This window comes from Homo sapiens, chromosome 22 (assembly GCF_000001405.40).
Source record: "Homo sapiens chromosome 22, GRCh38.p14 Primary Assembly".
Lineage (NCBI taxonomy): Eukaryota > Metazoa > Chordata > Mammalia > Primates > Hominidae > Homo > Homo sapiens.
Window position 1 is genome coordinate 37,086,440 of NC_000022.11, and position 13,476 is coordinate 37,099,915.

The 13,476-nt window shown below is 54.3% G+C and overlaps 1 protein-coding gene across 9 annotated transcripts in view, besides 2 other annotated features; it reads right to left on the minus strand.

Annotated features, from left to right (window-relative positions):
• The window catches only part of TMPRSS6 (transmembrane serine protease 6), a 45,101-nt gene that overhangs the window by 21,004 nt on the left and 10,621 nt on the right, over positions 1-13,476 (minus strand). For 6 of the 9 annotated variants that reach the window (XM_024452167.2, NM_001374504.1, NM_001289000.2 and 3 more), the window contains exons 3-7: positions 11,977-12,110; positions 10,209-10,276; positions 9,467-9,651; positions 9,112-9,153; positions 3,139-3,343 (exon numbers count right to left, since the gene is read on the minus strand). In XM_024452167.2, the coding sequence (XP_024307935.1) occupies positions 3,139-3,343; positions 9,112-9,153; positions 9,467-9,651; positions 10,209-10,276; positions 11,977-12,110 (634 nt within the window). The remainder of the gene's footprint in view (positions 1-3,138; positions 3,344-9,111; positions 9,154-9,466; positions 9,652-10,208; positions 10,277-11,976; positions 12,111-13,476) is intronic. The other 3 variants (XM_047441170.1, XM_011529989.3, XM_047441171.1) reach the window with 1 other exon arrangement.
• Positions 1,461-2,660: an enhancer, noted in NCBI's record as "CDK7 strongly-dependent group 2 enhancer chr22:37483940-37485139 (GRCh37/hg19 assembly coordinates)". NCBI's record gives its function as "activates an origin of replication core promoter dependent on BRD2, BRD4, P300/CBP, MED14 and CDK7 cofactors, with strong dependence on CDK7, by STARR-seq in HCT116 cells {active_cell/tissue: HCT116}" and the evidence as "EXISTENCE:reporter gene assay evidence [ECO:0000049][PMID:35650434]".
• Positions 11,532-12,037: an enhancer, noted in NCBI's record as "H3K27ac-H3K4me1 hESC enhancer chr22:37494011-37494516 (GRCh37/hg19 assembly coordinates)". NCBI's record gives its function as "activates a minimal SCP1, AML or CMV promoter by ChIP-STARR-seq in naive H9 embryonic stem cells {active_cell/tissue: H9 hESC(naive)}" and the evidence as "EXISTENCE:reporter gene assay evidence [ECO:0000049][PMID:30033119]".

Here is a 13,476-nt window from a genome sequence, read left to right on the forward strand (position 1 = left end):
CAAGGCTGGGCTGGGGTCTGGGAGGGGAGTGGCAGGGAGGGCGGCAGGCGGCTGCTGGGGGAGGGTGGACGGGAGTCTGGACATCTGGGTTCTGGGTCCGGGTCTCCTACCAGAGACCACTGTGTGTCTGTGGGGAGAATTCTGTGTCTCCCCAGCCCCAGAGGACAGACTGAAGGCCCTCCAAGGACCAGGCTAGCTCCTCGGGTGAGAGAGGCCAGGAGGTTCCCCAGACTTCTGGAGCTTACAGTTTGATGATGACGGCTGGCTCGAGTCCCATGCTCCCTCCCCAGACCCCTCCACCCTGCTACAGAATCATCTGTGACCCCTAGCGTCCCTGGCAGGAAGACTAGACTGGCATCTGCAGGGACCACCGTTTCTGGCACCGCGACTCCTGGCTGTGCTCAAGGATAGGCAGGGAGAAGGCAGGTGTGGTCTCGTGACCCCCAGGGTGCCCCAGAAATCTGCCCAGAGCTTGGCGCCTGGGAGGCTCGGAACAAATAACCGTATCTTAGACTTCTGGGCTTTTAGAAATCTGGAATGTCAGCCCTGAAAAGACTGGTGACACTGTTGGGGTCAGCTGCTTGATTTCCAGATAGGGAAACTGAGGCCCTACCGGCAGTCCATGGCAGAGATAGGCCTGCGCTAGGCACTGTCTGTGATGGCTGGTACCCTCCCACATATGTAGGTGCCCCTGGTCTGCCTGTCTCAGACAGGGGTTCCCCAGCTCCCCTTCACCCTCTCACCAACCTCCCCCAAACTTCCCAGTGTCAATGGCAACACTCTCTGGAGTCCAGCGCATCTGATGGGTCAATTTATAAGAAACTAACGGCCCCACCTCCCTCTGAATGGGCAACCCAATAGCCTCCCTGCCTGCAGACTGTGCGTGGGCACCTGGGCCTTGACAGGAGGAAGGGGTGCTGCTGGAGGGATTTCAGGCACCTTGGCAAGCGAGTACCTGAGCTCCTCCAAGCACAGCCTCAAAATCGCTACACATGGCACCCAAGCAGCCTGCAGCCAGCTGGAGGCATGGTGGGCATAACCCCAAGGGTCTCCCTGGGAGGGTCTTGGTGCCCAGGGTCCGGGGATGGGGCATTTCCCCTGGCCTCTTGCCAGGGGAGGGAGGTGGCCTCCAGTAGCAGGCACCACCCCCCTCACCCCCCAGGCCCTCGTCCCTTCTTCCTACCATTCCAGCTTGATCTTCCTGCTGCAGCACCCAAGTCTCCCCAACCACACCGGTGCCCCCCACCCTCCCATACAGCCACGTCCTTTTTGGCCTTACCGGCTCATCTTCCCTGGGAGGTGGGAGATACGATATTAGGATGGAAGAGACCTGGAGGTCACCTTTAATGGGGGCTTTAGCTTTCATTGTTGGGGGGTTTTATTTTATTTACCTAGCGGCAGAGCCCTTCTTATAAATGAAATATGGAACGCAGAATCAAAGCACATGGTTGAAACTGAGCAAGGGGCCACCTGCTCTGTCTTCCCATCACCACCAAAGTCCCCCTCACCCCCATTCCCTAGCAGGTGTCTGGGGTACAAGCTTGAGAACCCCAAATGTTGTCTGACCTGTCATTTTAGAGCTTCTCCAAGGGTCTGGGATGAGAGAGCCACCAGGAGCCACAGTGAGTAGGAACAGAGCTGGGCCTGGCAGTCAGGTCCCCTCCCAGGCTGAGAGGCACCTGGAGAAGCCCCAGGGGAAACCCCTAAGTGTCCCCACCCTTTTTGGACCTGGAAGTCAGATGGTGTCTGGCTTCTCTGCACTTCCCAGAGCCCTCCAGAAACTCAGCCCACGCACATGCCGCAGATCGAGGTCACACCCAGCAGGACAGCAGGAGGGGTGACAAGGAGAGAGCAGCTTGGAGAGGCCCTGGGGGAGGGGTGTGGCAAGAACCTCTGCCAGCTCACATTCAAAGACTGCGCTTGATCTGAACACACTGGTCCCATCCCCATCTGCCTGGAGGCTGGCCACAGCCCAAGTGAGACAGAAGAGGCATCAGCCTGACGCCCAGCACAAAGTAAGTGCTCAATAAACAATCGCTGAGAACTGCCCAGCCCAGAGCATCTTCCCCACCTCCTGCAGTGCTTTGTAGGCTAACACCCATCTCCCCATCCTGTGGGAGGACCAGGCTCCCAGAGGTCAAGGCCATTTCCAGTCCCTCCTCCCCACCCCCAACCACCTGCCCTCTGATCCTGATCACTTCTGTACTCCACTCCATATCTTATGCCCTAAAGCCCTACTTCTGTGCTCAAGAACTTTCAATAGCTCCCCACTTACCAAATATCAAAGTCCAAATGGCTCCTGGCACTCAATGCCTTTTGCGGCCCAGTCCCAGTTAGAGCATATATAATGATAACAATAATGGCTAGCGTGTAAGTGCTAGGCACTCACTATGTGTAAGGATCATGGCACAGATAGTCTGATTTAAATCCTCCAATGATCCGGCAAGGTAAGCAGGTTCTAAGAGGCAAAGTAACTTGCCTTAGGGCACGCAGCTAGGAGACAGGGGGTTCCCCGTCACATCCCCACACCCCCGCCCCACACACCAGTAAGCCTCTCTGCTCTTACATTTAATCCGTGAGCTCTGATGCATTGCTAGAACTTGCAAAGCAGTACCACCTACATCATTCATTCGTTCACTCAAAATAGATACTGCACACCTACTGTGCGTTTGGTCTAGGCACGAGGGCCCGGCAGTGAAGACATCCCCTCCCATGGGGAATCTAGTATCTCATTTAAACCCCACCAGAAGCCTGGGAAGCAGAGAGGGTGGGTGTTCTACCAGGAAGCAGTCAGGATTTAGGAACGAGCCCAGAGGTTGAAAGTCCAGGCTGCAGCCAGACTCTGAAACATCCCAACAAGCCACGGTGCCTCCCAGAGCTGACTTCAGGAGTCATCTACAACAACGGCTTTGTTACAGATGGGGAAACTGAGGCTCGCGGAGGGGAAGCGCCCCCAGTACACAACCATCTCCAGCCTCCTCTCCCCTATCCCCTCTAAGCTAGCCGTCCTGTCTCCCAGATACCCAGGCCCAAGGTCCTACCCTCCCTTGTCTAAGAATGCTGTGTGTGACTTTCAACTCCCCCATCAACCACTCCCTTTTCCAGCCCTCCCTCCTGCCCTCCTTCCCAGGGACTCACGAGGTGATGAGCCTCTTCTCCAGGGGCCCGGCCACGTCATACATGGCCAGTCGGTCCCGGCACTCTGCCAGCGTCCACTCCAGCCGGAGTTTGAGCATGAGGTCCTTGGGGCCCTGCAGGTGCCACAGGCAGCTGGAGGCCAGGTGGTCAGGCCCCTTCAGCCGGAGGACCTGGCCCTGGCCCACGTAGCTGTAGCGGTAACAACCTGGAGCGGGGAGAGGGGCACAGCCCCTGATTCCTGTGAGCCAGAAGGAGGGGACCCTGGGGAGCCAGGTCCCTCAAGGTCCTCCACCAGGCAGGATGGGCTGGGCAGGGGAGCCGGGTGGGGATAGCCAGACATGCTCTACCCCATCCTTCTCTTTCCCTGTCAGTATCCTCATTCATGCATTTGTTCATTGGTTCAGTCATTCACTCATGGAATGGACACACACTGAGCTTCACGCCTTCTCAGTGCCCAGGTAAAAATCCAGTCGCTGCCTGGGGACATGGATGACAGCGGGGACAGACAGACACAGAACAGGCAAGAATAGCTCAGGAGGTGACGGCTTCAAACCCGGCCTGTGGGCTGGGGGCATCCTGGGGGTCCCTGCGTGAGCAAAGAGGCTGGGGCGAGCCGGGCAGCTTTGAGAAAAGTACACACAGGGCACGTGTATCTAGAGGACAAGCTGAAGGCAGGGAGGCCTGGCCCAGGCCATTCCGAGGATGGGCGCTGCTTTCTCCTGCAGCCATAGGGAGCCACAGAAGGTTGGGCAAGGCTGGACATGGGCTGGCTTGGACCACACACTCCTCTGGCTGCTGTGGAGACCAGCGAGGCCACAGGCAATGAGGAGAAGAAGGGATGAGGGCTTCACTTCCGGTAGAGAGAAGGGAGTGCCCTAAGGAGGAGTCTGGGAGGCTGCCCTGGGGGGAGGACATGAGCTTTGAGCTAATGATGGTGAAGCCATCAGAATAAAACAGGTGCTTATCAAGCATTTGCTACAGGCCAGAAACTGAACTGAATGCCTTCCCTCACTGTCTCGCTCAATGCCCACAACAGCTGTATGAGATACTTTCAATGATTGTGTCCATTGCACAGACCTGGGCCAGACACATCTGGGTTTGCCCAGCCACCACCTAATCTTTCCTGGGCCTTGCTTTCCTCATCTATAGAATGGGACGATAACACCACCCTTGCAGGGCCGCCAGCAGAGGCTGTAGGATGATACACGTTTGAATGCCCAGCACAGCACCTTGCACAGTAGGGGCTCAATAAAGGCAGTGCCTGGTTCCTCAGGTGGGTGTGAGGGAGACGGAGCAGGTAGGGCTGGGGAGAAAGGCCTGTGACTTTTCATCCTGCAGCTGGCCCCGCCTGAGGCTCAGACCTAGCCCATCTCACGGCTGCCTCACTTCACAACTGTTTCACCATCATACCCCACCCCCCTACCCCACACACCAGTGAGTCTCTGCTCTTCCATCTAATCCGTAAGCTCTGATGCACTGCTAGAACTTACAAAGCAGTACCACCTGCATCATTCATTCATTCATTCATTCATTCAAAACAGTGACTGTGCACCGACTGTGTGTTCGATCTAGGCACCAGGGTCTGCCAGTGAACATGTTCTCTCCCGTGGAGCATCCAGTATCTCATTTAAACCTCGCCAGAAGCCTGGTGTTCTTCCAGGAGCCAGTGGGGATTTAGGAATGAACCTGGGATGTGGGAGGCAGCCTGGTGACATGAAATTATAAAACCTGAGTTTTCAGTCTGTTTTCTCTGCTTTAAATCGTCTTCTTTGGAAGGCCACAGGCAAGCAAAAGTCCCCCTGTCAGCTTGGTCAGCCTGAGGGCAGGCCCCCCAGGCTAGTGCCATCTGCTGGGCCCCCAGGGGAGGGGGTATATGGGGAGGGAACTGGAGAGAAGGAGGGAGGGGCACTACCCTCCCCACCTAGCACCAACACTCATCAGCTGTGTGATGATGTCATTCTTGGCTCATGGGCCATACAAAATCAGGCAGCAGTGGACCAGATTCGGTGTCCAGGCTGCAGTGAGCCAGTCTCTGTCCCCAATCATTGTCTGATTAAGTCCCCCTGAGGCTCTCAGGAGTAATAACTCTGACTTACTATTGGTTGCAGATTATCAACCTCAGACTCTGTAGAGGTAGATGTTCACTACCTCTGGGTAGTTAACTGAGTCTGGGCCAGTGGCTTAGCCATTCCAAGTTCTGTCAAATGGATGTAATAATAATCCCTGTCCTATGACCTCCTCTGGGCAGTGCTGAGGACCAGGAAGGGAATGGAGGTGAATACACTTTGCTCTGATGCTGCCACCTGTGGCTCAGCCCCTTCTCCCTGACCCCTGGCCATGCTGACTGCAGTGGGGAGCTGACCTCCCCAGAGAGAGAACAACAATGTCTGCCTAGGGAAGGGACAGGGCCTCCACCAGCAGCTGGGGAAAGATGGCTGGCTCTTCCTAGGGTTTTGTGTTCTTTAAATCTTGCTCCAAGCAGATTCTTTGCTCTTGCCACTTTAATAATTACCCTTTTTTTTTTTTTTGAGACGAATTCCGTGGAGAGGTGTGTGCTAACCTCTTGTTAATCAGAAACACCTTCAGGGAGCCTGGCACCTCTCGGGGCTGGGAGGAATTAACTGAACACGCCTTGGGTGTTCCCCTCCCCCAGCCTTTGCCCCTGCCATTCCCTCTGCTCAGGGAACCCTTTCTTCTTCTCGCCCTGACAAATTCCTGCCTACCCCCATGCCTGAATTTCTTTTTCTTTTGAAAATTATTTTATTTTATTGTTGAGACAGCCTGTCACTCAGGCTGGAGCGCAGTGATGCGATCACAACAGCTCATTGCAGCCTCGACCTCCTGAGCTCGGGTGATCCTCCCACCTTAGCCCCCCACCCCCACCCCCGAGTAGCTAGGACTACAGGTGCACACCACCATGTCCAGCTAATTTTTTTTTTAATGGAATTTGCTCTTGCTGCCCAGGCTGGAGTGCAATGGTGCAATCTTGGCTCACTGCAACCTCCACCTCCTGGGTTCAAGCAATTCTCCTGCCTCAGCCTCCCAAGTAGCTGGGATTACAGGCATGGGCCACCATGACCAGCTAATTTTGTATTTTCAGTAGAGATGGGGTTTTGCCATGTTGGCCAGGCTGGCCTCGAACTCCTGACCTCAGGTGATCCGCTCAACTTGGCCTCCCAAAGTGCTGGGATTACAGGCTTGTGCCACCACGCCCGGCCCATGCCCAAATCTGATGCCCCCTCCATGAAGTCTTCCAGGATCCCCCAGTCAGGAGCAACCCCTCCCTCCTGTAGATCTGGGACTCTGTGTGAGGCTCTTGATTTGCCCCCTCTTCTGCTTTGGAACGAACAATTCCCTCTCTCCACTGCCTCTGGGGCCTCTATTCTCACACTGGCACCTGGTGTTATGAGAATCTGTTTATGTGTCTGTCTCCCTCATGGGGCTTAAAGCTCCTCCGAGGGCAGGGGTGAGGACACGGTCATCCTGGTGTCCTCAGCGCAGGAATGGGGCCTGGCATGAAGGAAGTGCTCATAAAGTCGACTTCAAGGATTTGAGTTGTTATCTCTGCCCCCTGAGACTCTGTGCTCTGGACATGCACTGAACCAGTCTCCTCATTCATGCTTTCATTCATTTGTTCAATCATTCATTCATGAAACGAACACCCACTGAGCACAGATAATTACAGAACAACTGCCAGGAACATGGGGACACAGAGGCACGAGGCAACATGAGGCTATTACATAGCACTTCTATTGCAGGAGAAAAAATAACTTTCCATAGGACCTTTTCCTTTCCTTTCTTTCTTTCTTTTTTTTTTTTTTTTTTTTTTTTTTTTGAGATGGAGTCTCACTCTGTCGCCCAGGCTGGAGTACAGTGGCACAACCTCACAATCTCAGCTCACTGCAAGCTCCATCTTCCGGGTTCAAGTGATTCTCCTGCCTCAGCCTCCTGACTGGTTAGGACTACAGGTGCGCACCACCATGCCCGGCTAATTTTTATATTTTTAGAAGAGACGGGGTTTCGCCTTCTTGGCCAGGCTGGTCTCAAACTCCTGACCTCAGGTGATCTGCCTGCCTCTGCCTCCCAAAGTGCTGGGTTACAGGCATGAGCCACCATGCCTGGCTGACTTTTATATTTTTTAATAATTGAAAAATGGCCTATGGAGCCAGGCGTGGTGGCTCACACCTGTAATCCCAGCACTTTGGGAGGTGGAGGCAGGTGGATCACCTGAGGTCAGGAGCTCGAGACCAGCCTGGCCAACACGGCAAAACCTCATCTCTTCTAAAAATATACAAATTAGCCAGGCATGGTGGCAGGCACCTGTAGTCCCAGCTACTCAGGAGGCTGAAGCAGGAGAATTGCTTGAACCTGGGAGGTGGAGGTTGCAATGAGCCAAGATCGCGGCACTGCACTCCAGCCTGGATGACAGAGTGAGACTCTGTTATATATATATATATGTCATTCTTGGCTCATGGGCTATACAAAATCAGGCAGCAATTGACCAGATTCGGTGTCCAGGCTGCAATGAGCCAGTCTCTGTCTCCAAGCATCATCTGATTAAGTCCCCCTGAGGCTCTCAGGAGTAATATCTCTGACTTACTATTGGTTGTAGATTATCAACCTCAGACTCTGTAGAGGTAGATGTTAACTTTCAGAAGACTGTAATAAGCTGTCAATGATTTTAATTCACTAGAAAAGACAACTCCAAAGGTTTGAGTTTTCTTGCCTGGTAGGACCTTAACCAGGTTTGTATCTAACTTGGTAATCTTATTCTAGCAATTCTCTTTTTCCATTAATGATTGATGATAGATAGATAGATAGATAGATAGATAGATAGATAGATAGATAGATATAAACAGACAGCTAGCTAGCTAGACAGACAGAGACAGAGAGACAGACAGATAGATAATAGACAGCTAGCTAGTTAGATAACTAGATAGACAAGCAGACAGATATCAACAGAGATGATAGATAGATAGATAGATAGATAGACAAATAGATCAGTTTCTTGCATTCTTTACCATTCTACTCGTTCCCCCATTAATCAGCCAAATAAATATTTGACACATGGTCACTCTATCTTTGTATGAGAATCATGATTTCACCTCTTTGAAAACTGTACTTTGACCTCATCACCTCCATCCAACAAAGAAGCAAGCATTTGACCAGCAGGATGGGAAGACGGGAAGGTAAGGAAAGGTATAACAAGGATTTAAACTCTGCCTCCCTCCCTGAGAAGGGGTTGAGACGCTCACCCCCACCTTGGCTCTGGGTGACAACACTAGATAGTGTGGGAGGAATCTGAGAATTTAGGGGCCATAGAGTCCAGCAGCCAGTTGGTGCACTGCACAACTCACACAAACTACAACTTGGACAGCACCTCCTGCCTTGTGCAGCGTGGTGACTGTGCTGGTCAGCTGAAAGATTGTGGGTCCGCTTGGAGAAATGCAAGGTGACTCTAGCAATACGGCACCAGGTAGGGAGGGAGGGCTGATGAGCCTGACTGGGAAGGAAAGGAAAAGAGGGAAGGAGCGTTCTTGAATGCAATGGCACCGCTACCTCCAAAAGACCAAGTTTTAAAACCAACGTGACTGACAAACCGTGAATTGGCAAGATGATTTTCTACCATCAGTGGAAACTAGCTTGTGGGCAGGTTGAAGTGAATGATAGAGGAGAGTCACGTTCGTGGACCACTAAACCTGACTCATCCTCACACCCACACAGGAACGCATGCACACCCGTCTACAAGACACACACAAATACACGCATGCACGTCGCCACCTCCTCTCCCCCTACAGGCTCCAAGACTTGCTTGGGACACATCGCTGAGTCCACCATGGCATCCCCTGGGTGACTCTTGGCCAGGGCTCCCTGCACACACAACAGAAGCCATGTGTCCCCCTGATACACAACAAAGTCAAGACAAATGCCAACTCAAAAGGAAAATGGGGAGGGGAAAAAAAAATAGCGTACCCAGCGTGGAATTCAATGCAGCTATGTCTTTCACACTGGCTTCTGATAAAAGGAAATGAACAAACAAATAAACAAGAACAAAAAAAAAAAAAAAGAAAAGAAAATACAATGAAAATAAAATTAGAGGAGACCCTTGGAGCCAGCCTTGTCTGAGATTTACCCTAAATGCCCCCATCCCACCCTTCTTTCCTGGCTCCTTGAATGCAATGGCACTGCTACCTCACCTGGGGGGCTCTCCTGGGGGGCCCACCCTGACAGCACCCCAGGCCTGGCAGGCAGCCTCCCCGGGCCACACCACAGCTTGTTTCCCCCAACCTCATGAGGCCAACCCCACGTTTCCACTCGCAGTACTGACCCAGGATCACTAGGCCCTCGGGGTCCACTTCGTACTCGGCCCTGTAGGGGACGGCAGCCGAGCTGTTGACTGTGGACAGCAGCTCCTCCACCAGCAGTGCCTGCACCACCTCGGGGCTCAGCATCAGCCGGCGGTGCTCGGGGATTTGGAGAATGAACCAGAAGAAGCAGGTGAGGGGTCCCTCCCTAAGGCAGGCAGAAGTGAGAGAGGCCAGGGAAGGATTCTGAGGTCTGGCCCCAGCTCCACCCCTGCTCATGCACATCGAGCACTTTCCGCACCTCAGCCATTGCTGTCCGTCTTCACGCAGAAGCCTCCTAGCGACCTCTGAAGGAGGCGCTCTCATAATCCTTATTTTACGAATGAGAAAACTGAGGCATGAGAGGTGAACTTGTGTCTCATAAACTATGCCGCAAGTAGCAGAACCAGATGTGGACGGGGCAGTCGGGCCCTGGAGCCAATGCTTTTAACCCCATGCCCCTCCAACATCGCCTCGCCTGATGGTGTCAGGCCCTTGATCAGCCATCACAGTCATTGTCTGGTGCAAACCTATCACACCCATGTTTCCATTCTACAGATGAGCCCAGTGAAGGGAGGGTGACATGCAGGAAGCCAAGTTCCCTCTCTATGCCTTAGTTTCCCCATTTGAAACATGAAGGCATTGCATCAGAAGCCTACAGAGGCCCCTCCCATTCTTTGAATCTCAGCTTCTTGCAGGAGCTGGTCAGGGGCAAGGACAACTCACCCAAAGGAATAGACGGAGCTGGAGTTGTAGTAAGTTCCCAGGCGGGTGCTGGTGATGAGCTCCTTGAGCTGTGAGAAGGGAAGACAACAGCCCCTGGGACCCTCTGCAGGGCAGACAGGCCCACTTCCTACCTGGAGGTGCCCTTTGCTCCTACTGGCAGCCCCGCTCCATGCATGATTCTCCAAGGTGGACAGGCTTGATCACGGTCACACAGTGCTGAGTGGCCGGGCCGGGGCATGCATGAATCTCACACCCCATCCCCTTCTTTCTGTTTCCACTACACCCGACTCTCACCTCCACCTGCACTGCTGATGACCCCTCTGCCCCTTGCCAAAAGTCACTCCTCAACTCTGAGAAACCCCACTCGGCTCCTGGGTCCCCTCTGCACCTCCTCCCATGGCCTGGGACAAGCCAGCAGCTCTGATGGGTAGTTTTTGCGCATCTCCAACTACAGCGCTGCTGGCAGGATTACAGGCTCTTAAGCATTTGCGCAGCGTGGGAATAGTGTTCGTGTTATCTCAACTTCACTGCAACCCACAACAAATCTGCAGCCGGGTCCTGTTGTTATCACCCCTACCTCATGGAGGAGGAAACGGGCAGCCTCAGGCTGGGTCCCTCAGAAGCAGACCCTCCATTGACAAGGTGGGGCAAGTGGTTTATTTGGAGGTGATTCTGGGAAACAGTAGTTGGGAGGGAGAGACTGGAAAGTGGGCAACCAACACAGGGCCATGAATGCGCAGTGTAGAGCTGAGAGCATCTGAGCTCAGCCGAATAGGGCATCTCTGGGAGACAGCCTGGAACATTCTGTGAACTATTCCCCCTGCCAGGGCCAAAGAAGCTGCGGTATTGATCCACCCACTCCAGCGCTCATGGTTCAGGGTTGCTCCTGGGAATAACTCCCCGGCACTTCTGGCCTGCCTTGCTGGGCAGTGGTCCTGCAGCCTGAGAGTGGCAGGCAGTAGACCAGCCTCCGTGCAGTGAGCCACCATCCTGTAACAGAGGGGCAGGAGTGGCCACCGTCCTGTAACGGAGGGGCAGGAGCGGGCCACCGTCTTGTAACAGAGGGGCAGGAGCGGGCCACCGTCCTGTAACGGAGGGGCAGGAGCGGCCACTGTCCTGTAACGGAGGGGCAGGAGTGGGCCACCGTCCTGTAACGGAGGGGCAGGAGCGGCCACCGTCCTGTAACGGAGGGGGAAGAGCGGGCCACCGTCCTGTAACGGAGGGGGAGGAGAGGGCCACCGTCCTGTTACGGAGGGGGAGGAGAGGGCCACCGTCCTGTAACGGAGGGGGAGGAGAGGGCCACCGTCCTGTAACGGAGGGGGAGGAGCGGGCCACCGTCCTGTAACGGAGGGGCAGGAGCGGCCACCGTCCTGTAACGGAGGGGCAGGAGCGGCCACCGTCCTGTAACGGAGGGGGAGGAGCGGGCCACCGTCCTGTAACGGAGGGGGAGGAGCGGGCCACCGTCCTGTAACGGAGGGGCAGGAGCGGGCCCTCAATAGTGTCAGCTGCACTGTGGGACCTTTCCCAAGGTCATGCTCCACCCCTGGTAAGAGGCATGATCAGGATCTAATCCGAGTGCTATTGACCCAAACATCCACTAACTTTCCCATGACCCTCAACCTCATCTGCTTCCATGGTGCCTGGAGCAGGGCTGTGGTCCCTGTGAATGCTCCAGATGGGTTGACCAACTGGCTCCATGTGATCAGACCCCACCCCTCTCTTTTCACCCCCATATTCCCTCCCTCTCATCCCCCAGATCCTTTCCTACCATCTTCTGGGCTTTGGCGGTTTCACTGCGGAAGGCACTAGATTCCCGGCGGGTAAGATCCTGGGAGAAGTGGCGATTGAGTACACGCAGACTGCCTGAGTACACCTGGCTGACCATCACCTCCGCCTTGTACCCTGCCCAGGAAGGAACCAGCAGGGTTAGTGGAGGAAGCAGGTGGGAAAGTCTCCTGTCTCTTCCATGCCTTCTCCTGCCACCCACACCCTCAGCTCAGCCTCAGTGTCTTGGGTCTCCATGGCACCATCAATGTCATCATCATCATCTTTGTCACTCCCATTGTCATCATGGTCATCTAAAGTTTATTGGATGACAAACTGGCTGCAAGGTACCAGGGAGGTGAAAGGCTCCCAGATGGATGGTGTCCTACAGGTTCCCAGGGAGAGGCTGACACAGTGACCAGTCCAGGACACCAATGACATGAAGGCCAGGAAATCCACATAGGCCCAGGAGGCCAAGGTCATGGGTCAGCACCACTAGGCATCCTTCCACTCGTGAGGTCACCCAGGGATCCCACAGTGTGTGCTAACCACCTACTACATGGGGTACGCCAGTTAACCAAGACAGATGTGCCTCCCCTTGTGAAGCTGACAGTGGTGGGTAAGAAAGGCGTGGCTCTGGCAACCACACAGCATGTGGCATCTGTCTGTGGGCAGTGCCATCAGGGAGCAGTGCCACATGGTGCTGTTGAGGGGATGTGACGAGGACACTCAGCCTGGGCCAGAGTGGAGTGACCCTCCAGCTGAGATGTAGGGATGGGGAAACTGTAAATTGGTAAGAGAAGAGGGAGGGAAGTACCTTCCAGCAGAGGGAGCAGCATGGGGCACGGGGCCGGTAGCACGGGGACCATGGTGAGGACCCGGGCTGAAAGCCTGTTTGGCTGGAGCAGTCAGAGATGGGGAGGGGCGGCAAGGAGCTGGGGCCTCCGCAGGGCAGGGCCCATTGGGTCTTTACCCGATGAACAAGGGTAACCATGAAAAGTTTAAAATCAGGAATGATGTCATCAGACTTCTGTTTTGCAAAGGCTATTTTGGCTGAAGTGAAGAGGGTAGACTCACAGCCCTGGTTTACACCCCTATCCATTTACTCAGTAAATACCTCTTGAGAGCCTGCTATGTGTAGGAACTGAGCCAAAGTACTTGGGACTATATGAGCAAAACAACGGACAGAACTATCAAGAAAAAACTGCCCTTAATAGCTTGTAGACTAGCAAGGAATCAGACGGTAAACCACACATCGTGTATAACAGGTTAGAGGTGGTCAGTGCGGTGGGAATCAGGGCATGGGACGGGCTGCGATATGGAGGTCAGGGAAGAAGGTGATGTACATCTGTGGAAAGAATGTCCCAGGCAGGGGCAAGTGCAAAGGCCTGGTGTGTTTCAGGAGCAGCAAAGAGTGAGCAACAGGACAGCAGGAGGGTATGAGATGGGGAAGGGGAGAGGCTGGGTAGGGCTTTCCAGGCCTGGGAGGACTCGGGCTTTCACC